The sequence below is a fragment of the Homo sapiens genome, chromosome 17 (assembly GCF_000001405.40).
Source record: "Homo sapiens chromosome 17, GRCh38.p14 Primary Assembly".
Lineage (NCBI taxonomy): Eukaryota > Metazoa > Chordata > Mammalia > Primates > Hominidae > Homo > Homo sapiens.
Window position 1 is genome coordinate 30,998,396 of NC_000017.11, and position 23,340 is coordinate 31,021,735.

Genomic DNA, 23,340 nt, shown 5'->3' on the forward strand with positions numbered 1-23,340 from the left:
AAATAAATATAATAAGTGTACATATTTATGGGATACATAGTGATGTTTCAATACATATGGTGCATAGTGATCCGATCAAGGTAGTTAGCATATCTATCATCTGAAACATTTATCATTTCTTCCTGTTGGGTGATGTAGCAATTTTAATGCTAGTGTGAGTGAAACATCACACCAAAAGATACAAAGTTGCTATTTGAAGACTTCTTAGCATGGACCATCAAAAGATGACCGGCCATGTTCTTATTGTTCTTTTTTTTTTTCCAAAGGGGCCATCCATCCAACCTTTAACTTGAAGAGCCTTTCCTGCAGCCTGGAGGTGTCCAAGGATTCCCGTACAGTGACTGTGTCTCACCGCCCACAACCCTATCGCTGGAGCTGTGAGAGGTTTTCTACCAGCCAGGTCTTATGTTCCCAGGCCCTGTCTTCTGGAAAGCATTACTGGGAAGTGGACACTAGGAATTGCAGCCACTGGGCAGTTGGGGTGGCTTCCTGGGAGATGAGCCGCGACCAGGTCCTGGGAAGGACTATGGACTCTTGTTGTGTGGAATGGAAGGGGACTAGCCAGCTCTCTGCATGGCACATGGTCAAGGAAACTGTCCTTGGCTCAGACAGACCTGGGGTGGTGGGCATCTGGCTGAACCTTGAGGAGGGAAAGCTTGCCTTCTATTCAGTGGACAATCAGGAGAAGCTTCTGTATGAGTGTACCATCTCTGCCTCCTCTCCTTTGTACCCTGCCTTCTGGCTGTATGGCTTACATCCTGGAAATTACCTGATAATAAAGCAAGTAAAGGTGTAAGGTTTCCTAAGGGATTACAACACAGTGGTTTCCTGGTCTCTCTCCCTGTCATCAATCAGGGTAGTAACTTGACTTAAGAATACCACTTTTTAGAAAAATTACGATAGAGATGGGATCTCACTAGGTTGCCCAGGCTGGTGTCGAATTCCTGGTCTCAAGCAGTCCTCCCACCTCAGCCTCCCAAGGTGCTGGGATTACAGGTGTGAGCCACCACACCTGGCCAAGAATACCACTTTTGAAGTTAATCCTTTTGTGTGATACAGGATGAACTTGGGATGTTTGAACCCTGGACATTCCAAATAAAGAATAGGCCCCTGCCTGGCTCCTGGGAGATAACCTCTAAGCCATTAGAATATCTTGCCTGATAAGAGTGTTTTTGTTTACCTGTGGGCCTTGGGCCATGCAGTATCAGCTTGACCTTGCAAGGTCAAGCTGAGGAGACTAAGTTAGCCATGTGGGCAGTGAAGCATGCCAATGTGATCAATCCCTAGTAAAAGCCCTGGACACCTAGGCATGGGTGAGCTACTCTGGTTGGTAATACTCTGTGCACACATCATTGTAGCCACACATCATTGCTGGGAGAATTAAGCATTATCCTGAAGACTCTGCCAGGAGAGGATAATTGGAAGTTCTCTTGGACCTTACCTTATGTGCCTTTCTTCATTGCTGATTTTAATCTGTATCCTTTCACTGTAATAAACTGTAACTATGAGTGCAACACTTTGCTGAGTTCTGTGAGTCCTTCTAGTGAATCACTGAACCTGAGGGCAGTCTCAGAGGATCTCTAAACATAATTTGCTACTTATCAGTTGCTATGTAAGAATATTGCCACAAATTTAATGGTTTAAAATAACACATAGATATTATTTCACAGTTTCTGTGAGTCAGGAGTCAGAGCATAGCTTAGCTGAGTCTCCTACATCAGAGTTTTACAAGCTGCAATCAACATGTCAGCTGGGGACACAGGGTCATCTGAGGCTCCAATGGGGAAGGATCTGCCTCCAAATTACATGGTCATTGGCAGCCTTCAGTTCTTGAGTTGCCGGACTGAGGGCCTCAGTTTCTTTCTGGTTGTTGGCTGGAGACCGCCCTCAGTTCCTTACCCCATAGGCCTTTGCAACACAGCTGCTTGTTTCCTCAAAGACAATAAGGGAGAGGGTCTCCTAGCCAGATGACGCAAAATCTTTTTTTTTTTTTTGAGACGGAGTCTCACTCTTGATGCCCAGGCTGGAGTGCAGTGGTGTGATCTGGGCTCACTGCATCCGCCGCCTTCCAGTTTCAAGCAATTCTCCTGCCTCAGCCTCCCGAGTAGCTGGGATTACAGATGTCTGCCACTACGCCCGGCTAATTTTTTTTTTGTATTTTTAGTAGAGATGGGGTTTCACCATGTTGGCCAAGCTGGTCTCGAACTCCTGACTTCGTGATTCTCCCGCCTCAGCCTCCCAAAGTGCTGGGATTACAGGCATGAGCCACTGCACCCGGCTGACACAAAATCTTACATAGCATAACCACATAAACACGTAATCACGTACATCCCATTGCCTTTGCCTTCTATTGATTAGAAGCAAGTCACGTTACCACCCACACTGAAGGGGAGGGGATTACAGAAGGACATGAATGCCAGGAAGTGGGGCTAATGGGGGCCACTCTACAGTATGTCTGACACAGGTGTTATTTCATACTTGATTTCCCCTATTTTTAACAACCATTTTATTATATAAGAAAACAGATACAGAAAACTACACAAAACAAGTGGTGCTTAATGAGTTATTATAAGGTAAATACCCTTGTAACTATCATTCAGGTCAAGAAATAGCACCTGCTGCCCACCCCAGAAGCGCCTTCCTGTGCCCCATTCTAATCACAAAACCCTCCCTGTGCCTGAAAGGAGTCTTGACATTCACGCCAAACACTTCCTTGCATTTCTTTAGAGTTTTATCACTCAAATATGCATCCATAGCCACAGTAGTTTCATCTTGCCCATTAAAAAAAATGGTATGTCCTTTAACAGCTTTGTTGGGAATATTATTTATTTATTTATTTATTTATTTTATTTTGGAGCCAGGTTCTCACATTGTCACCAAAGCTGAAGTGAAGTGGCATGAATCTTGGCTCACTGCAACCTCTGCCTCCCGGGTTCAAGTGATCCTCAGCCTCCTGAGTAGCTGGGATTACAGGTGTGAGCCACCACACCCAGCTAATTTTTGCATTTTTAGTAGAGATGGGGTTTTGCCATGTTGCCCAGGCTGGTCTCAAACTCCTGAGCTCAGGCAGTCTGCCTACCTCAGGCTCCCAAAGTGCTGGGATTACAGGCGTGAGCCACTGTGCCTGACTGACATATAATTTACATTCTATGAAATTCACTTAAGGTGTACAAATATATGTTTTTTACTATATTTACAGAGTTGTAAAACCATCACCATAATCTAATTTTAGGATATTGTCATCACCCCCAGAAAGAACCCTCATGCCCATTATTTAATGTCTGTTAGTCTCCTAATATACATGTCTCTCTCTCTCTCTTTTTTTTTTTTTTTGTCTTACAGTTCATCCATAGAAGGACTCTGGTCTTGACTAGCACCTATTCTGAAGATGGGGACGTTCAGCTCCTGAACTAGGTTGAAGAGAAAACCCTGTCATGCAAACCAGCCAGGCAGCGTTTGACAGTATATTTAAACTCTTCTTGCCTTTCTTTCCTCTCTAAAATGGACATCATTATTATTTGCCCTTCCTTACCTTCCTCACAGGTTTGCTGAAACCATTAAATAAAGTAGGAGGTGAGGAAATCGGAAGAATACAAGGATGATGATTATCACAGCAGCAATGATGGAATTACATCTTAATATCACCCACCTTGGCCTCTAACATCCTGAGACTCACACCTAATTTCTATACATGATTAATCGCTCCTTCAAAACAGGGGTAAGCAGAATTCTTCCACGTGGTCTACTAATATGCTTTCTGAGCCTCACCACTGCCCTGCGTGATGGGTATTATTACCTTCCTGTTGATGCATAAGGAAGCAGAGGCCGGGACAGGTGTGGTGGTTTGTCCGGGGTTGATCAGCCAGTCATGGCAGAGCTGGAACCAGGCCCAGTTTTCTCACTTTTGTTTGTTGTTGTTTTTTTTTTTTTTTTAAGACAGAGTCTCGCTCTGTTACTCAGGCTGGAGTGCAGTGGTGTGATCTTGGCTCACTGCAACTTCTGCCTCCAGAGTTCAAGTGATTCTCGTGCCTCAGCCTCCCAAGTAGCTGGGATTGTAGGTGTGCACCCCCATGCTCGGCTAATTTTTGTATTTTTAGTAGAGACAGGGTTTCACCATGTTGTCCAGGCTGGTCTTGAACTCCTGACCTCAAGTGATCCACCCACCTCGGCCTCCCAAAGTGCTGGGATTACAGGTGTGAGCCACCATGCCTGGCTGGTTTTTTCACTCTGAAGCCTCTCCCCTCGTTACTCTCCGATAAGGTCCTATGCTAAGGCCAGGACCTGGCCTTCCACTTTGATGGGACACAGCTAGCCCTAAAGTCATGAGGTACCCTTTCTTTTTGATTTTGGTGGTTGTCCTTAAGTGGCCTTGAGTTGTCTAAGCAGTGACAAGGCTTCCTTGTTTGTGCCAAGTGACCACTAAGAAGCTATGGGTGGCCGGGTGTGGTGGCTCACGCCTGTAATCTCAGCACTTATGGAGTCTGAGGTGGACAGATCACCTGAGGTCAGGAGTTCGAGATCAGCCTAGTTAACATGGTGAAACCTCGTCTCTACTAAAAATATAAAAATTAGCTGGGCGTAGTAGCACACACCTGTAATCCCAGCTATTTGGAGGCTGAGGCAGGAGAACCACTTGAGCCTGGGAGGCGGAGGTTGCAGTGAGCCATGATCTTGCCACTGTACTCCAGCCTGGGTGATACATCAAGACTCTGTCTCAAAAATAAATAAATAAGGCTAGGCGTGGTGGCTCATGTCTGTAATCCCGGCACTTTGGGAGGCCGAGGCGGGCGGATCACAAGGTAAGGAGTTCGAGACCATCCAGGCCAATATGGTGAAACCCTGTCTCTACTAAAAATAATAAAATTAGCTGGGCATGGTGGCGGGCACCTGTAGTCCCAGCTACTTGGGAGGCTGGGGCAGGAGAATCGCTTGAACCTGGGAAGTGGAGGTTGCAGTGAGCCGAGATCACGCAACTGCACTCCATCCTGGGTGACAGAGCGAGATTCTGTCTCAAAAATAAATAAATAAATAAATAAATAAATAAATAAATAAGTAAAAAGAAGCTATAGGCCCTCACTTTCTGCATCATGGAGCTTTTATCTTCTAACCCAGAGTTAATTTGATATTTGCCTTTTGAGCCAAGATTCAGAGTTTGGAGTGAAGGGTTTCAGCCTCTTGAGGTTTTTTGGTTAAATATTGTCCTCTCAGACAGTATGTATTGCAATGAGGCCTCTGTGAGTGTTGGTTTTATCTGCCTGCCACATGATGTCCCCAGACTGGAGCCAGAGCACTAGAATCAGAAACATAGGAAAGGAAAGAAGGCTATCACTTTTGATTGCTTTGCTTTTGGCTTGCACTTTGTGTCAGCATATCTCTTCCAGGACACTGTAGAATATAGTGTCCTTCCTTCAAACAAAACACAAAATCTCCAAAGGAGAATAACTAAAGCTGAAATGCCAGTGGATGAAGGACCTCTCACTGGGGTCTGCACTGTGGGGGCGAGGAAATCATCTGCCTATGGACCAAGCCAGAAAGACTTTCCTTGGGGCTATCTTAGTCCATTCGGGCTACTATAACAGACTCCCATAGACTGGGTGGCTTACAAAAAACAGAAATTTATTTCTCAGCTGGGTATGGCGACTCACTCCTGCAATCCCAGCACTTTGGGAGGCCAAAGCAGGAGGATCACTTGAGCCCAGGAGTTTGAGACCAGCCTGGACAACTAAATGAGATCCCGTCTCCACAAAAACATTTTATATTAGCTGAGTGTGATGGCATGTGCCTGCAGTCCCAGATACTCTGGAGGCTAAGGCTGGAGGACTGCATGGGCCCAGGAGGTCAAGGCTGCAGTGAGCTGTGATCATGCCACTGCACCCCAGCCTGGGTGACAGAGCAAGGCCATCTAAAAGAAAGAGAGAGAGAGAGAGAGAGAGGAGGGAGGAAGAGAGAGAGCAAGAGAGAGAGAGAGAGAGACAGGGGGGAAAAGAGAAAAGAAAAGAAAAGAAAAAGAAAGGAAAAAAATGAAAAAAGAAAAGAAAGCAAATTTATTTCTCATAGTTCTGGAGGCTGGGAAGTCCAAAATCAAGGTGCTGGCAGATTTGGTGTCTAGTGAGGGAGCTCTCAGGAGTTCCCCCGCCGTTTTTTTTTTTTTTTTTTTTTTTTTGAGACAGAGTCTTGCTCTATCACCCAGGCTGGGGTGAAGTGGTGTGACCTGGGCTCACTGCAACCTCTGCCTCCCAGGTTCAAGCAATTCTTCCTGCCTCAGCCTCTTGAGTAGCTGGGATTATAGGTGCCTGCCACCATACCCAGCTAATTTTTGTATTTATTAGTACAGACGGGGTTTCACCATGTTGGCTAGGCTAGGCTGGTCTTGAACTCCTGACCTCTGGTGATCCACCCAACTCAGCCTCCCAAAGTGCTAGGATTACAGTCCCTTTTATAAGGTCACTAATCTCATTCATGAAGGCTCTATCTTCATGACCCAATCACCTCCCAGGACTGTCATATTGGGAGTTAGGATTTCAGTACATGAATTTTGGGAGAACACAAACATTCAGTCTATAGCGGAGACACACTGCTTCATAGGAGAGCACGAGGAACTCCTTTGGCAGCTTTCTGCGCTATCTGGGGACATTGTTCTCAAAAATTTGTTTTCTATCAGGCCTTGTCTCTCAAGTGTTTTTTTTTCCTGGGGGTTGAGGAGAATGGAGTGTTCTCATCAGTGCCATGGGCTGCTTCTGTCCTTCTCTCTTCTCTTCCACCTCACACACTCTGGTGAAGCAGCTGCTGGATAGTTCTGTTGAACCCACTATTGGGTCCGGGGCTTTGGGTTCCTGGAAGACCACCTGCTAAGCAGGAAGCCACCATCTTGTTAGGCTTGAGGAAACCTCTAAAATAGTTATATCTATCTGTCCCTTGCTTCTCTCTCAAATACTATTTTGTTTTGTTTTGTTTTTGAGACAGTCTCGCTCTATCACCCAGGCTGGAGTGCAGTGGCACAATCTCGGCTCACTGCAACCTCCGTCTCCCAGGTTCAAGTGATTCTCCTGCCTCAGCCTCCTGAGTAGCTGGGATTATGGGCATGTGCCATCATGCCTGGCTAATTTTTTACATTTTTAGTAGAGACCAGGTTTCCCAGTGTTGGCCAGGCTGGTCTTGAACTCCTGACCTCAAGTGATCCACCCGCCTTGGCCTCCCAGAGTGCTGGGATTACAGGGGTGAGCCACTGTGCTGGCCTTATTTTTATTTTATTTTATGTTATTATTATTATTATTTTGAGATGGAGTTTTGCTTTGTCCCTCAGGCTGGAGTGCAATGGCGCAATCTCAGCTCACTGCAACCTCCGCCTCCCGGGTTCACGCCATTCTCCTGCCTCAGCTTCCCGAGTAGCTGGGACTATAGGCACCACCACCATGCCCGGCTAATTTTTTTTTTTTTTTTTTTAGTAGAGACAGAGTTTCACCATGTTAGCCAGGATGGTCACTATCTCCTGTCCCCGTGATCCGCCTGCCTCGGCCTCCCATAGTGCTGAGATTTACAGGCGTGACCCACTGTGCCTGGCCGCTTGCTTCCTATTTTCTATGAACTCATGGCACTACTGTTGAACCTTTCGAGGTTCCTCTCATGGCCCTGGAACCTGCTTTCCACTGTAAAACATTCTTTCATTCTTTCTTCCGAAATTGCATCCTTATCTTAGCTAAGCAAAACTATTTTCTGAATAAACTATCTCCCTGATGGTTTTTCAGATAGAGACTGCTGTAGGAGAAGAAAGATTTCCATGTTCTCCTAGCTCCTCACATACTCAATGACTACTTTCCTGTTACTCCAAACCCTTCCTCCTCACAAGCTAATATTCTACATTCTATTTGTCAGTTTCTGTCATTAATAGCTCTCTAGGCTGTTCTCCCACATTCAATGACTATCTACAGCCAACCTATCCAAAACCTGAGATCACACCAAGGTATGGTGTGGCCACGTTCCATTCAACAGAGTTCTTTGCTTTCTACTCCAAGACTTGCACTTGTCCATACCCCTAACTGTGCTGCTCCATACTAGAAGTCTTAACATTGTAATGCTCCACTCTTGGCCGTGGCTTCCTCTTTTAGTTCCTTTTCTCTTCGTGTTTCTACTTAGGGACTCATCAAGACATCTACACTCTCTCCCTTTCTTTCTTTCTTTCTTTCTTTCTTTCTTTCTTTCTTTCTTTCTTTCTTTCTTTCTTTCCTTTCTTTCTCTTTCTTTCCTCTCTTTCTTTCTTTCCCTTTCTTCTCTTTCTTTCTCTTTCTTTTCCTTCTTTTCTCTCTCTCTCTCTCCCTCTCTCTCTCTCTCTCCTCTTTCTTTCTTTCTTATGCATATATCTCACCTAAGACATCCAGACTTGAACTTTTCACATCTTCTCCCAATTTATCAGTTGCTCTCTTTGCTTCCTGCTTCCATTTCCTAGCTAGCCCAAGTCCCACAGTGTAGCTCATGGACTTCTTTCTTCAGCACTTTGAACTTTCTTACTTCCTCATTCCTCTGGGACACAAAACTTGTCTATTGGTCATCGAAATTCTTTGACCCAACATATTTCATAGTAATGGTAACATCAATCCCAGCCTACAACTTTTTTATTTATTTATTTATTTTGAGACGGAGTCTCGCTGTGTTGCCCAGGCTGGAGTGCAGTGGCGCAATCTCGGCTCACTGCAAGCTCCGCCTCCCGGGCTCACGCCATTCTCCTGCCTCAGCCTCCGGAGTAGCTGGGACTACAGGCGCCCACCACCACGCCTGGAGAATTTTTTTTTTTTTTTTTTTTTTTTTTTTTTTAGTGGAGACGGGGTTTCACCGTGTTAGCCAGGATGGTCTCGATCTCCTGACCTTGTGATCCACCCGCCTTGGCCTCCCAAAGTGCTGGGATTACAGGCGTGAGCCACTGCACCCGGCCAAGCTTTACAACTTTATTTTTAGGGACAGGGTCTCACTTTTTTGCCCACTACTGCAGCTTCCAGGAGAAAAAGTTATTCGCCTCTGCCGTGGAATATTCTATAGCCTAATCCACGTGAGCAAAAGACACAACTCTACCAAGATATAAAATGTGTACTACATATACAGTCATGTGAGCACTAGGCTGTGACCTCGAATGCCAACAACTATGGCCAAATTACTGACAGACATAAGCCTGAGAACTAAGCCAGACACTCAACAGAAACAAGCCTCCCTTTTCAGAGACATTTTCTAAAACCATAAAAATAAGAGACAAAAATTAGGACATATTCAGGTAACAAGAGCTTCCTTCCCCCAGATAATTTCTGTTGTATAAAACCCAGAGATTAAAAACAACGATATTGGATTAGAAAAAAAAAAAAAAAAACCTTAGTCTTTCAATAAAAAGAAGAATGGGACAAATTTAACCCAAAACACATCATCATCATTTTTCTTGAAAATACGATAGTTCCCTTTTATCTGAGAGGGATCCATTCTGAGACCCCCCCCAGTGGATACGCTGAAACCATGGACAACACCAAACTTTATATATACTATGTTTTGTTCTGTACATACATACTCATGGTAAAGTTTAATTTATAAACTAGGCACAGAAAAAGATTAATACCAGAACAATTATAACATACTCTAATAGAAGTTACATGAACGTAGTCTCTTTTCTCTAAAAATATCTTATTGTACTGTACCACTGGTAACTCAAACTGCGGATAAGGGGGGACTGTTGTACAACAGTCTCACCATTTGCCGGTATTTCCGAATCATTTTTAGCTTGTCTTCTCCTCCCTTGTTCCTTCTTTCTGTTCAAGGCTGCTGATTATTCTCCAGGAGGCTCTTCTAGCTCCAATCACATTCTTATATGTAACAGATAGGAGGTTTCTTTCTTCAGCTGTCAGCTCCACATCCATCCCTGCTAATTTCTTCACTGACTCCACCATTTCTATAAGGGAAAAGCAAAATCCCGGGTCCCTCAGACAAAAGGGCGGGTGGAGGAGGAGAAGCCGAGAGTCCTGCTCCGGCGCCGCCGGAGCACCGCCTGCCTCAGCCGACCAGCGCCGTCGACTACTGGGCCTAGCCCAGACGAGAGGAGGGAAAGGCCGCAGAGGCCGCGAGGATGCTGCGGAGGCGCGGGCGGCCGGCTGCCGCCTAGTTGTGCAGCCCAGACCAAGGAAAGAGAAGTGGGAGGAGCGGGGAGCTCGGCGTCCCGCGTCCTCCGCGGCTCAGGACGACTACGCTCGGCACGTCCGGGACCCTCCGGCCGTGGCGGTTGCAGCGCCAAAAGCTCGGGCCTCAGCCCCTGACGCTGTGGTGACTCCGCCGCGCCTCGCCGTCGCCCCTGTCCCCGTCCTGCCCGCCGCCTCCGCCGCTGGGGACATGTCCAACCCCGGAAGCCGGAGGAACGGGCCCGTCAAGCTGCACCTGACAGGTGAGGGGGAGCGCCGGGCCGGGCTGGGCAGCCGCCGGGTGGGCGAGCTGGCGGGGGGTGCCTGTTGACTTGGGAAGGGCCAGGATCGCGATCAATGGTGAGTTGGGGGTTGGAGGAATGGGAAGGCCTAGTTCAGGGAGAGTAATTGGAAAACCACTCGCTCCGGTTTGGACATTCTTTAAAAAGCCGAGGATGACTTGGGGAGGGGGGGTGGTCTTTTGTGGAGGGGAGGTTACATCGGTTCGCATCGCAGGCGGATTTCAGGTCCGAAAGTCTTGGTCAAGGAGCCCGATGCTGCCTCTCGGGGCTCGGGGAGGAGCCCCTGGGCTACCGCCCAGGTGGGATCGTGAAGGGGATGAAGAGCTCTCGTGGCGAGGATTATTGAATCCGGTTGCTGACTGCGCGCAACTTTAAGGAGTGTTTACTCCTTAAAGATGGAGCGCTTAACGGAAGTGTGTGCGTGTGTGTTCCCGGGTTGTTACCTTGCACACCTACTTATGCCCGCGTGCAAAATCCTTACTCTCCGCCTCCGGCTACCGCTGCCGGGGCCGCACACCTTAAACTCACGTCTCTCTGAGGAGAGGAGACTGAGGTTGACTTTTCCCGTGTGCCTGTCTGATCCGACGGCTCGGGCTCATTGTACACTGTGTTTTGGAAGTGTCTGATTGTAGGGTGGCATGTTTGGGGTTGTACCTTGTAGGCCGCAGAACTTGTGTCACTTCTAACTCCAGACCTGCTTTAAAAACACACTTTTTGGCGGGGGTGGGGAGGGGGTACTTTTCTAACTATGTGCTCATACAAACTTTAGAGCAAACTTTCTCTTACTCTCCCCACCCTCCCCCTTCCTTTTTCTAAATGGAAAATAATGTCCGGAGGGGTTGCTAGATAGAAGACTACACTTACAAAGTGTTTATGATTCCAGGCGCATGAAATCTTTAACATTACAGGTACATTTTTGCTTACAGTGCCATTTTTGGTATTCTTACATGGACATGTCACCCCCATTTTAGGAAAACTTGTATTTGGTTTGAAAAGGAATTGAAATCACGACGTTATCCTACCTTCACCATTTACCCCTGATAAATTGTCCACGTTTATATTCGGATGAGTGGTGAGAAAGATAATTTTCCGTAGAGGATTTGTGTGTGCGTGCACGTGTACGAATAAACTGTAATTATGTTTGCCCACACTAGACTTTGAGATTTATTTGGGCTAATTTTGTAGTTGAATGCATGTGTGTCAGATCCCAGTACAGCTAGATGAAAACTTGCAGTGAATTTGGTATTTGAGAATTTAGCTTGAATGTCTGTTGGCTGCGATTTAAATAATACATGACCTTCATGACAAGTTTTGCTTTCCCTAAGGAAAAATGCAGGGAATCATTAACTGAGTGGTTCTTAATGGAAAACCTGGATTGGAGGATACTTGTATTTCCCCCCAACTTCCCCCCATTCAATGTCCTTATATTGGGAGAAGTCAGTGGAAACCTTTTTAGGGGATCTTTGTTGCTTTAGAGTTTATCTGTTGCTATCTGGAATCAGTGATCATCGAAAGAACATGCGATCCCAGGTGTGCAGAAAGCATCAGAAATAAGCTGTTTCCATTTACTTCCCTCAAGGCTACATAGAGAAAATGAGGGAAAAAATAGGGATTTTGATTTTCTGCAGATAAAATGAGTTGAGGTTTTAAGTATGACTCAGTAGATCTTAAAGTGTTTATCTGTGGTTTCCGTACTGCCTATGATACATTATAAAAATTTATAAGTAAAGTTTGTTAAGAGGAAAGATTATGCTTATATTTTAGGGGAAGAGGGAATATTGAACTACATTTATAGAGTGATTTTGTTTCAGGTTTTTCTGAGGATTTTTTAAATACCCTGTGTCCACTTAATAGTAAAAACAGTTTGAGGTACTCTGAGTTTCTTACAACTATTTGTCTCTGAATAGTTTTCTCTTAAAATTTGACAAATGTTAAAAACATTGTCCTTCCTCCTTTGGTTACAGTGGAGTCTTCTGTTTTGCCAGGAAAGTGAACTTTTTTTTTTTCATTTTTGTTCATCATTTACAAATTAGATGGGATATATTTTAGCAAATAGATCTCAAGAGCTGGATTTAATTAGCAGCTTTTTAGGACATAAACATTAAAGGTTAGATGGAAAAGATTGTTTTGACTGACAGGATAAATGACAGGGCTGTGTTTGATGTGCGTCCAGGAATTGGTCTGGAGCTGGTGCCCAACTTCTCAGTCCATCTTGAGAAGCCAAATAAAATATTTAACCTAGGCCTCATTTTGTTTTTTTAAAAAAAGTTGATTCTTTGTAAAAACCTTAAGAAATGTTTGGCATACCTTTAGACTAAGTGTTTAACAATTCGTTTAGACCTGGGTTCCCTAATAGAGGAAAAAAAATCACTTAAAAAAAGACAGATCTCACAGTGAATTTATATTTGGTTTACAATACACTTGGGCTATAAGATGTTTTAAAATTATTGTTCTTTGCTTTAAGTTAATACCATGTTAGTATTTTACATTTATAGAGTATCTTTGATTTCAAGATGCTGTATAAACTTTAGTTACTTGGTAATAACCTTATTGTGGAATTGCCCTTTTACTGAAAGGTATAAACATTTCTTGCATGGTGACACACACACACACACACACTCTCTCACACACTCATACACACTCTCTCTTTCTGAAGAAGAGGAAATATTTGAACCATGAGATCAGTGCCCACAATTGATATTAGACTTTTCCACATATTATTCTTTTTTTTTTTTTTTTTTTGAGACACAGTTTCACTCTTTTTGCCCAGGCTGGAGTGCAGTGGCACGATCTTGGCTCACTGCAACCTCCGCCTCCCGGGTTCAAGCGATTCTCCTGCCTCAGCCTCCCAAGTAGATGGGATTACAGGTGCCTGCCACCATGCCCGGCTTTTTTTGTATTTTTAGTAGAGATGGGGTTTCACCATGTTGGCCAGGGTGATCTCCATCTCCCGATCTAGTGATCCGCCCACCTCGGCCTCCCAAAGTGCTGGGATTACAGGCGTGAGCCACCACGCCTGGCCACCACATATTATTCTTAAAACCACAATCAGTGAACTGTTTGGTATTTGTCAGTGCTAAGAAGGTGGGGCTAATTTAATAATTTGATCCCAAATTTTAGATTCCTCAGGCAATTGGGGGTTAGAATCCAATTTCATCCATCAAGCTACTTCTGTTCTTTGTGACACATTAACATATGATCATTAAAATGGGGTGTATAGTAACACCATCAACTTCAACTAATATTTCTAGAACAAATTGATTATAAAGTGTATAATTTCTATATTATACCTATATGACTGTCAGATACAGGCTTTTCTTACAATGGTTTGGATAGAAAAATATTCTTTACAGTAAAAACTTTAGGGTAATTTTTAGACCATTATTGTTTTTGAAAACCAAAGGCTGCAAAAAGCAGTTTAGTGTAATTTCTAATATTTTAAATTCTTAGGTATAGAGAAGTAGAATAAGATTACTCCTCCAGAACATTTATTTCAGACCTTTTTATAAATTTAATGTTTTTGTATGCTGCTTCTCATATTATTAATTTCAAAGCCCTTGGCAATAAGGAGGTTAACCTTGTCTATAATGTAAGGAAGTTTAACTTTAAAAATTTCCCTTTAGATATGCTAGCGTCTTAATCTTGTTTCACTACATATTTTATTAATTCAAGGCCTTAAAAATGATAGCTTTATTCTATTACACAGGTTTTTATGTATGCCTATACACCATAATGACATTTATTTATTTATTTGAGATGGAGTTTCGCTCTTGGCTGGAGTGCAATGGGGCGATCTCAGCTCACTGCAACCTGTGCCTCCTGGGTTCTAGCGATTCTCCTGCCTCAGCCTCCCGAGTTGCTGGTACTACAGGTGCATGGCGCCACGCCCGGCTAATTTTTTGTATTTTCAGTAGAGATGGGGTTTCACCGTGTTAGCCAGGATGGCCTCTATCTCCTGATCTCGTGATCCGCCAGCCTCGGCCTCCCAAAATGCTGGGATTACAGGCGTGAGCCACCACACCCAGCCAAGAAATTTTTTAAATGCAAAGTTCTCTAGCCACTTTGTATTTACCACTAGATGTCTCACTAACTTCAGGAAACCTGATAGCTTTTGGCCACATTAGAGTAACTTGGTTCTCAATTAAATTTTTGTAGAATAATATGATCAGGTTAAGTTGAAACCTATTTTTTAAATTAAGATATTGAACTTGTATTTTTGTTTATTGTGTTATTTAACAGAAAGGAAACATAAAAGGCTGTGACTTTCCTACTTAATTAAGGATCTGGAAGCCACATTTTGTATGGAAAAAGGTTTTCTTTTATTTTTTTATTTCAGTAGATTTTGAGGGAACAGATGGTGTTTGATTACGTGAATAAGTACTTTAGTGGTGATTTCTGAGATTTTGGTGGACCCATCACCCAAGCAGTGTACACAGTACCCAGTGTGTAGTCTTTTATCCCTCACTACCCCTACCCTTTCCCACAGTCCCTATAGTCCAGTGTATCATTCTTATGCCTTTGCATCCTCATAGCTTAGCTCCCCCATGTGACTGAGAACATACAATGTTAGGTTTTTCATTCTTGAGTTACTTCACTTAGAATAATAGTCTCCGATTTTATCCAGGTTGCTGTGAATGCTATTATTTCTTTTTATGGCTGAATAGTATTCCATGGTGTATATATATGTGTATATATGTGTGTGTGTATGTTTGTGTGTGTGTGTATACATACCACATTTTCTTTATCCACTCATTGACTGATAAGTATTTGGGCTGGTTCCATATTTTTGCAATTGCAAATTGTGCTGCTATAAACATGCGTGTGCAAGAATCTTTTTTGTATAATGACTTCTTTTCCTCTGGGTAGGTACCCAGTAGTGGGATTGCTGGATCAAATGGTAGATCTACTTTTAGTTCTTTAAGGAATCTCCACACTGTTTTCCGTAGTGGTTGTACTAGTTTACATTACCACCAGCAGTGTAAAAGTGTTCCCTTTTCACTGCATCCATGCCAACATCTGTTTGTTTGTTTTTTATTTTTTGATTATGGCCATTCTTGCAGGAGTGAGGTGGCATCGCATTGTAGTTCTGATTTGCATTTCCCTGATACTTAGTGATGTTGAGCATTTTTCCATAAGCTTGTTGGCCTATCTTGGTTGGTATATCTTCTTTTGAGAATTGTCTATTCATGTCTTTAACCCACTTTTTGATGGAATTGTTTGTTTTTTTTTTCTTGCTGATTTGTTTGCATACTTTGTAGATTCTGGATATTAGTCCTTTGTCAGATGTTTTTCTTAATCCTTAATTTTTTTTCCCCCCTGAGATACGGTCTTGCTTTGTCAACCAGGATGTAGTGCAGTGGCATGATCGTGGCTTACTGCAGCCTCAGCCTCCCAGGCTCAAGCGATCCTCCCACCTCAGCCTCCTGAGTAGCTGAGACTACAGACGTATGCCACCACCCTTGGCTAACTTTTAAATTTTTTTTGTAGAGGTGGGGTCTTACTGTGTTGCCCAGGCTGGTCTCAAACTCCTGGGCTCAAGTGATCCTTTCGCCTCAGCCTCCCAAAGTGCTGGGATTACAGGCATGAGCCACTGTGCCTGACTAATTTTTAATTCTTTTTATTTTAATTTTTTAAAAAAGCAAGAAACCAGCAGAGAGATTTAATTCTTCAACTAGTTTAATAACACCCAAAGGGAAAGTATAGAAATGTGATTTTTTGTTTTTGCTTATAAACATAAATTTATATGTTTAAGTAGTAGAGCGGAAGTAACAAGATGGAGTAAATACTTCCCAGGAGGAAATACTTCATGAATTGAGGGTGGAGGTAAAAACATTCTTCCATTGAACACATTTATAAATGGTTAGGTGTTATTGAAATACTATGCATAACACTCAGCTTCAAGAACAATATAGTCAAATAGATTTAATACCCTAACTTACCAAGTTTGTTTGAAACATAACCCTTAAGTTTTGGTCTTCCTTTATTATTTGAAGGTGATAGATCACAGAATCATAGAATTGGGGAACTGATAGGTGATTTGTCTGTCCTTGAACCTTGGCAAATTAGTATCTTAAAAAAATTAGCATTGATACCAACATGCAAAATTTCTCCAGTCACCAACACTTAACACTGTTTTGTTGTACTATTTTCAGCTGTCCACAGGAAATCTACTGTATTCCAATATGTCTAACATGTGAAGTGTCATTTTTGTCTAACATTTTTAGTTCCACCTTTTAAATTTTTGTCAAAAAAATCATTTTCATTATGGCTTTGGGCCGAAAACTGTATTGTCATCTTTGATACAAGTTTCTTATTGATTTGTATTAGATCTTTCAGAATAGCTCTCTTAATTTTCATTTCCTTTCCCTTTCCATATGACTTTCCTCGTTCAGGGTCTTTTCATCCTACTGTTGGATGATTACAACAGCTTCATATATGGTCGCCTCTAATCTTTCTTTCTCCTAGTGGGCCCTGAATACCACTGATAGGAAAATATGACTGTAATTACAGCCATGCTCAAGAACCTGAAATGGCTCCCTGTTATCTACCTCAATCAGTCCAAGCCCTATTGTCTGACTTCTAAGCTCCTCTTACTGGCTCATGCATATTTCCAACAGTATTTACTTTTACACCTTAGCACAAACTCTTTGGTTAGACTCTTCAAAGTCTTTTAAATACTACATTGTCATACCCTCGTTGGCGCTCTTCCATTGCTAGGAAAGTCCTCCTTTTCCTGTATGTATTTAAAGCAGCAGTCCCCAACCTTTTTGGCACAGGGACTGGTTTTGTGCAAGACAGTTTTTCCAAGGATGTGGGGAGCAGGGGATGTGTTGGGATGAAACTGTTCCATCTCAGATCATCAGGCATTAGATTCTTGTAAGGAGCGCACAACCTAGATCCCTTGCACGCGCAGTTCACAATAGGGTTCCAGCTCCTATGAGCATCTAATGCTGCTGCTGATCTGACAGAAGGTGGAGCTCAGGCCATAATGCTTGCTCTCCTGCTGCTCACCTCCTGCTGTGTGGCCCGGTTGTAACAGGCCACAAACTTGTACCGGCCCATGGTCCAGGGGTTGGAGACCCCTGCTTTAAAGCCCAGATGAGTTCCCCTCTCCCCTAAAGCCCTTTCTTTACTGTTCAGATTCAAGTTGTTCTCCTGATTTTCTGAGCTCTTACTTGTACTCACTGTTGAACCATGTAGTAAATGAGAGGTAAAATCCAGCATAGTGGTTAAGATCATGAAGTCGAGAGCCAGATGGGTTTAGCATCTATACTTTAGACCCTGGCTCTGCCACTTACTACTGTGTGACCTTGGGCTACTTAATTGACCCCCTTGTGCCTTAGTTTCCTCATCAGTAAAATAGGGAAAATAATAATATCTACCTTAGAGGGTTATTGTAAGGATTAAGGATGAATGTAAAGTATTTAGAATAGTACCTAACATAGTGATATGCGTTTACATTATAATCAGTATCACTAAGCACTTGTTTATTCTCAGGTATTTTTGTTTCTGGTTTTTGTTTTTGTTTTGCGTATAGTATTTTTTAATCTTTCCACTTAGATAGTAAGCTCTTTTAAGCCAGAGTGTTACATCTTTTGTTTCGGTCTCATTTTTCTTGGTAGTTATTCAGCAAAACCCATTTTCTAATTTGATTTCTCTGTAGCCTGTGTTCCTGTATAAAAACCTCTAATAAGCTCTCCTTTAAATGAGCTACTGAGGGAGACATTTGGAAAGAAAAAGCCATGAATGGTTACAAGAATTCACCTTCCTGGGGTCAGAGGGCTGGTAACAACTTACAAAAACTTCCACCTTATGAATTAGTCTCTAGATTTTGGTAGTTTAAACTGGGAACATTTTGAGGCAGAAACGAGACAAGTATAGTTTTGGTGTTTTATATAGAAGTAACTTTTAGTCTTTTTTAAAAAAATGGAATATTCATTTATAGCTGTTAAACTTTTTTAAAAATAATGGAATAATCTTTTGTAGCAAATGGAATGTTTGTATAATCTATCTCACATGTCAAATTATTAATTTCAAAAATCTTTTTCACAGGACTTCCTGATCCATTTGCTAAGGTGGTGGTTGATGGATCTGGGCAATGCCATTCTATAGATACTGTGAAGAATATGCTCGATCCAAAGTGGAATCAGCATTATGACCTGTAGGTTTAAACGATTAGTTTGAAATGAAACATATAATTAATATTACTTGATATAGTCTTTGAAAAGAATCGTGGGAAATGATCTGAGTTTCATCTATGCTATAATTTGGTCTTCACAAAAGGTGTAAAGAAAAGCCCAGTGGGAATGTGCTTTGGTTTATAGACAGGTTTTGAAAGATGAGGTATCCCTAAAATTCTATGAAGAACAAAATGAAACTGGCTCACAGTAGAGCAGTCCCCCCAACTTTTTTCAATTAAATAAAGGTATTAATTCACCACTTTAGACCAATTATAAAACCAGAAATCAGAATTTTGATTACACTGAATAGGCATTCTTTTTGCCTTTATGTAGAGGGTTTCTTTCTTTTAAATTTTATTTTAATCATAGGAGTATATGCACCATTTAAAAAAGGCAAATGATACTATAAAGGTTTTATGGAAAACAGCAAGGTCCCTGGTCCTTTCTCATTCCTGATTCCCATCCTCAAGGCAACTGCTCTAATAACTTTGGCTGTTTATTCTGGTATTTTCATCTGTTTCTAGATATGTTCCTTATTTTATACCATCACAGTTTTCTTTTTTCAGTTTTATGTAATTTTTTTTTTTTTTTTTGAGACAGAGTCTTGCACTGTCACCCAGGCTGGAGTGTAGTGGCACCATCTTGGCTCACTGCAATCTCTGCCTCTTGGGTTCAAGCAATTCTCCTGCCTCAGCCTCCCGAGTAGCTGGGAATGCAGGTGCCCACCACCATGCCCAGCTAATTTTTGTACTTTTAGTAGAGACAGAATTTCACCATGTTGGCTAGGCTCGTCTCGAACCCCTGACCTCAAGTGATCTGCCTGACTCGGCCTCCGAAAGTGCTAGGATTACAGATGTGAGCCACTGCGCCCAGCCTAGTTTTAGATATTTTCGAATTTCCTACATAGAAGATAATTCAGCTTTATTTTTTATTAAAAATTCTTTTAAAATTAGAGACAGTCTCACTCTGTTGCTCAGGCTGGAGTGCAGTGGCATAATCATAGCTCACTGCAGCCTCAAACTCCTGGACTCAACGGATCCTCCCACCTCACCCTCCTGAGTAGCTGTAACTACAGGTGCATGCCACCATGCCAAACTAATTTTTTTTTTTTTTTTGGTAATTTTCTGTAGAGATGGGGTCTTCCTATATTGCCCAGTCTGGTTTTGAATTCCTGGGCCCAAGTGATTCTCCCTCCTTTGCCTCCCAAAGTATTTGGATTACAGGCATGGGGTATGATGCCCAGCCCAGTGGTTCAGCTTTTAAAATTGGTATTCGTCATCCCCATTCCCATGACACTCACAAGCCCCTTCCTTTCTTTAATCTTCCAATATAATTATAGGAACCTTTTTGATTAAACCATTGTTCCATGTTTACATTATTATGATTATGTAAATATCCATAGTTGGGTCACATGGGTACAAGAATTATATTTTCTTTCTTGACAGCTTTTGTTTTTTCTGAAGTTAGTAGCTACTTTTCCCTTTTGTTTAGTTTTCTATTTATCTCCTAGCTAGAAATGAGAAATTACATGTCATAATCCTCAAACTCTCCTACAGAACTAAAGATCTTTTCTCCATATATTCAATTCTGTCAGTATTCCATTGGCTTTGTTTCTTCTTGGAGATACCCCTCCTGGGGGTCTGTGTTCTCTTTCTTCAGTCTGGTGTGATGGTTCTCTAAGACCTGCTGTGCAGTTGTCCTGGGACTTGCCTTTATTGTTATGTTGGCAATTTCCTTTGTCTCTTCTAGATTTAGTGACTCTCTTGATTTGGTGAACCCTATCTTCTGTTGTCATTTTGAGAAATAATACAAAGATGGGGAGAAAGTTGAGATCTTATCAGAAAATATATTTTGGTTTCTTATCTGTTGGTATGGTTTGAGTACAGGCTTCTAGATGAAATAGCACTTTATCTCCAAATGTTGAATACATTGCTCCATTATCTTCTAGGTTTAGATTTGTACTGTTGAGTAGAAATATAATGTAAGCCACAAATGGGAGTTCATCTGTAATTTTAAATTTCCTAGTATCCACATTAAGATAAGTAAAAAGAAACAGATGACATTAAGCATAATAAACTGGGCATGGTGGCTTGCACCTGTAATCCAGCTACTCGGGAGGCTGAGATGGGAGGATAACTTGAGGCCAGGAGTCTGTGACCACACTGGGCAACATAGCAAGACCCGTAATACAATATAGTTATATTATGCATAATAAGCATAATTTATTATGCTGAAAATTAAGCATAATATATGTTATTTAATTCAATATATCAAAAATATTTTCAACATGGTAGTATAAAAATATTGAGCTACTTATTTATGTATATATACATATTTACTATGTCTTTGAAAAATCAGTGGTTTTCTCATTTTATGTTAAGAAAAATCAGTGGTTTCTTTTGCAGCTTGCCTCAATGTGGACTAGCCACATTTGAAGTACTCAAAGGTCCCATGTGGTTGGTGGATACCATTTTGGACAGTGTAGGTTCAGAGTATTGCTGATGGCATCCTGATTTTGGTCTGTCATGACTGTTGTTTTCCACTGGAAGTTTCTTTATTCGTCTGTCGCTTGTTATTTTCCTTTAAAAAAATTGTAGCCCCCCTAGTGTGTATGAAGTTGTACCTCGTCATGGTTTGGAAGTGCATTTCCCTCATGACTAATGATGTTGAGCATCTTTGCATGTGCTCGTTATGTTTTATCTTACAGTTAATATTAATTGGCTACCAGAGGCTTCTCTCTTGCTTGTGTCTGAGGTCGTTTTGCAAAATCCTTGCCTTTAATTGGCTAAGTGTACAAACAAAAGTCTAATAATTAAATTTTAGCCCCAAATCCTGAGTATGTATATTATACTTTTGTCTATATGGTAACATTATATCACCCATAGAGGTTACCATCTACCCCTCTCAACAAAACATCCTGAAACTTGTTTATAAATCATGTATTTGTTAGTGAAGTCAAAGTTTTAATAGAAGCTGATAGAGCCCTCTGTTTAACTTTCAATTATAAAAGTCTTTACTTTTTCTTTTATGTGGCCATTATGTTATATTACATGAGGTTTCATTAAAGTGAGAGCATGTACTTCTCTGTGTATAAGAAAAGGTAATATTTCTGATTAATTTCTGGCCCAGGAATATTTGGACAGAATGTTTGTGACATGTACACTTAAGTAATACAATATATTTCATAATTTTGAGTAATTCAGAGTTAGGCTGTCTTCCAGAAGGTCCATAATTAGCAATTTCTCATTACGGTTTAATGTAGAGCTTCCCAACCTTTTCATATCATGGTACACATAAAAAATATTATGGCACACTGGACTAAACAGGTGAAGTTGCTTAAGCCAGTGGTGCATTGCCCTGAGGACTGAGGTAATCAATATATGTATTTCAGCATACCTGTAAACCAGGCTTACTAGTTGGACAACTGGTTTAATGGACTTTTAAAAAAATGTTTGGTTTGGGTAATTCAGCTACTTAATACTGGATTCTGGCTCTGGAATTACATGCCAGTAGATATATACCAAGATGGATCGGGTACGTGTATTTGGAAATTGGTACATGCGTACTGAACAATATTTCAGTTCATATCTTTTCATTTGCAAGCAACAGAGACCAAGTTCAAATCGGCTTAATTTTTAAAAAGGGAATGTACTGATTTGCATAATGAAAAGCTTAGGGGTGGCCATTTTTTAGGCACAGCTGGATCCCGGGGCTCAAGTGTACCTTCCATGTTCCTTATTTGAAAGCTTTAGTCGTTACTTAAGTGGTTTAGTCTTTTCTCTATACTAGGTGAATTTTTCTGATATTGCTAATTTATTGAATTAGCAATACTTTAGACTAAAACTTTGACCTCTTAATGTCATTGAAATAGAGCTAGGATTCTGCTGACATGATTATGTTATTATATTATCTTTTTGCATGGGTTGATGCCATGTTAACAATTGGCTGTGGTAGAGCCTTTACGTACTTGCAGGTATATCCACAGACAAGTACAGTAATGCTTTTCCCTGCACTGCTTGTCTGCAGGAGGTGAAGTGAAATCTGCAAGAGTCCTGCTCGCTCAAGGCCTGCATACAGGAAAGAAGCAGGGGAAAAGCGTTACAAACAGCTTTTGTTCTACAGCATTTTAAAATATAACAGGTCAGATTTTTGGTCTGTCAGCCTTGACACTATCCGTTGAAAAGTAGGTCATGTCATTGAAATGTATTTAAAATGTGACTGTGGTAAAATTTTTTTTTTTTTTTTTTGAGACGGAGTCTTGCTCTGTCTCCCAGGCTGGAGTACAGTGGCGTGATCTCGGTTCACTGCAAGCTCCGCCTCTCGGGTTCACGCCATTCTCCTGCCTCAGCCTTCTGAGTAGCTGAGACAACAGGTGCCCGCCTCCATGCCCGGCTAATTTTTTTTTTTTTTTTTTTTTTTTAGTAGAGACGGGATTTCACCGTGTTAGCCAGGATGGTCTTGATCTCGTGACCTTGTGATCCGCCCGCCTCAGCCTCCCAAAGTGCTGGGATTACAGGCGTGAGCCATTGTGCCCGGCCGTGATAAAAGTTTTGAAGATTCTTTTTCTTGGAAAGAAGTTATTTAATAAACTCCCTTAGTGTTATTAGACACTAGCTACTAAAATAGCCTTTTTACTAACTAGAATTATAGCCCAGCTTGAGAGTGGCAGATGTGATAAAAATATACTAAAATTGTTTTTAAAAATTTTACTTT

General features: G+C 41.8%; 1 protein-coding gene and 1 pseudogene across 10 annotated transcripts in view, besides 2 other annotated features; both read left to right on the forward strand.

Moving 5' to 3' along the window:
• RNF135 (ring finger protein 135) overlaps positions 1–1,516 on the forward strand; it is a 40,991-nt gene extending 39,475 nt beyond the window's left edge. For all 6 annotated transcript variants that reach the window (XM_047436929.1, XM_024451001.2, NM_001184992.2 and 3 more), the window contains one exon: positions 267–1,516. In XM_047436929.1, coding sequence (XP_047292885.1) covers positions 267–796 — 530 coding nt within the window. In that variant the 3' untranslated portion in view covers positions 797–1,516. The remainder of the gene's footprint in view (positions 1–266) is intronic.
• Positions 9,878–10,379: an enhancer, noted in NCBI's record as "H3K27ac hESC enhancer chr17:29335291-29335792 (GRCh37/hg19 assembly coordinates)". NCBI's record gives its function as "activates a minimal SCP1, AML or CMV promoter by ChIP-STARR-seq in primed H9 embryonic stem cells {active_cell/tissue: H9 hESC(primed)}" and the evidence as "EXISTENCE:reporter gene assay evidence [ECO:0000049][PMID:30033119]".
• The window catches only part of LOC107984974 (SMAD specific E3 ubiquitin protein ligase 2 (SMURF2) pseudogene), a 38,254-nt pseudogene continuing 25,097 nt past the window's right edge, over positions 10,184–23,340 (forward strand). For all 4 annotated transcript variants that reach the window (NR_171381.1, NR_171382.1, NR_171379.1 and 1 more), the window contains exon 1: positions 10,184–10,408. The product of NR_171381.1 is annotated as an SMAD specific E3 ubiquitin protein ligase 2 (SMURF2) pseudogene, transcript variant 3 (transcript). The remainder of the gene's footprint in view (positions 10,409–23,340) is intronic.
• Positions 10,424–10,473: a silencer, noted in NCBI's record as "silent region_8407". NCBI's record gives its function as "represses an Ori minimal core promoter by ATAC-STARR-seq in GM12878 lymphoblastoid cells {active_cell/tissue: GM12878}" and the evidence as "EXISTENCE:reporter gene assay evidence [ECO:0000049][PMID:35858748]".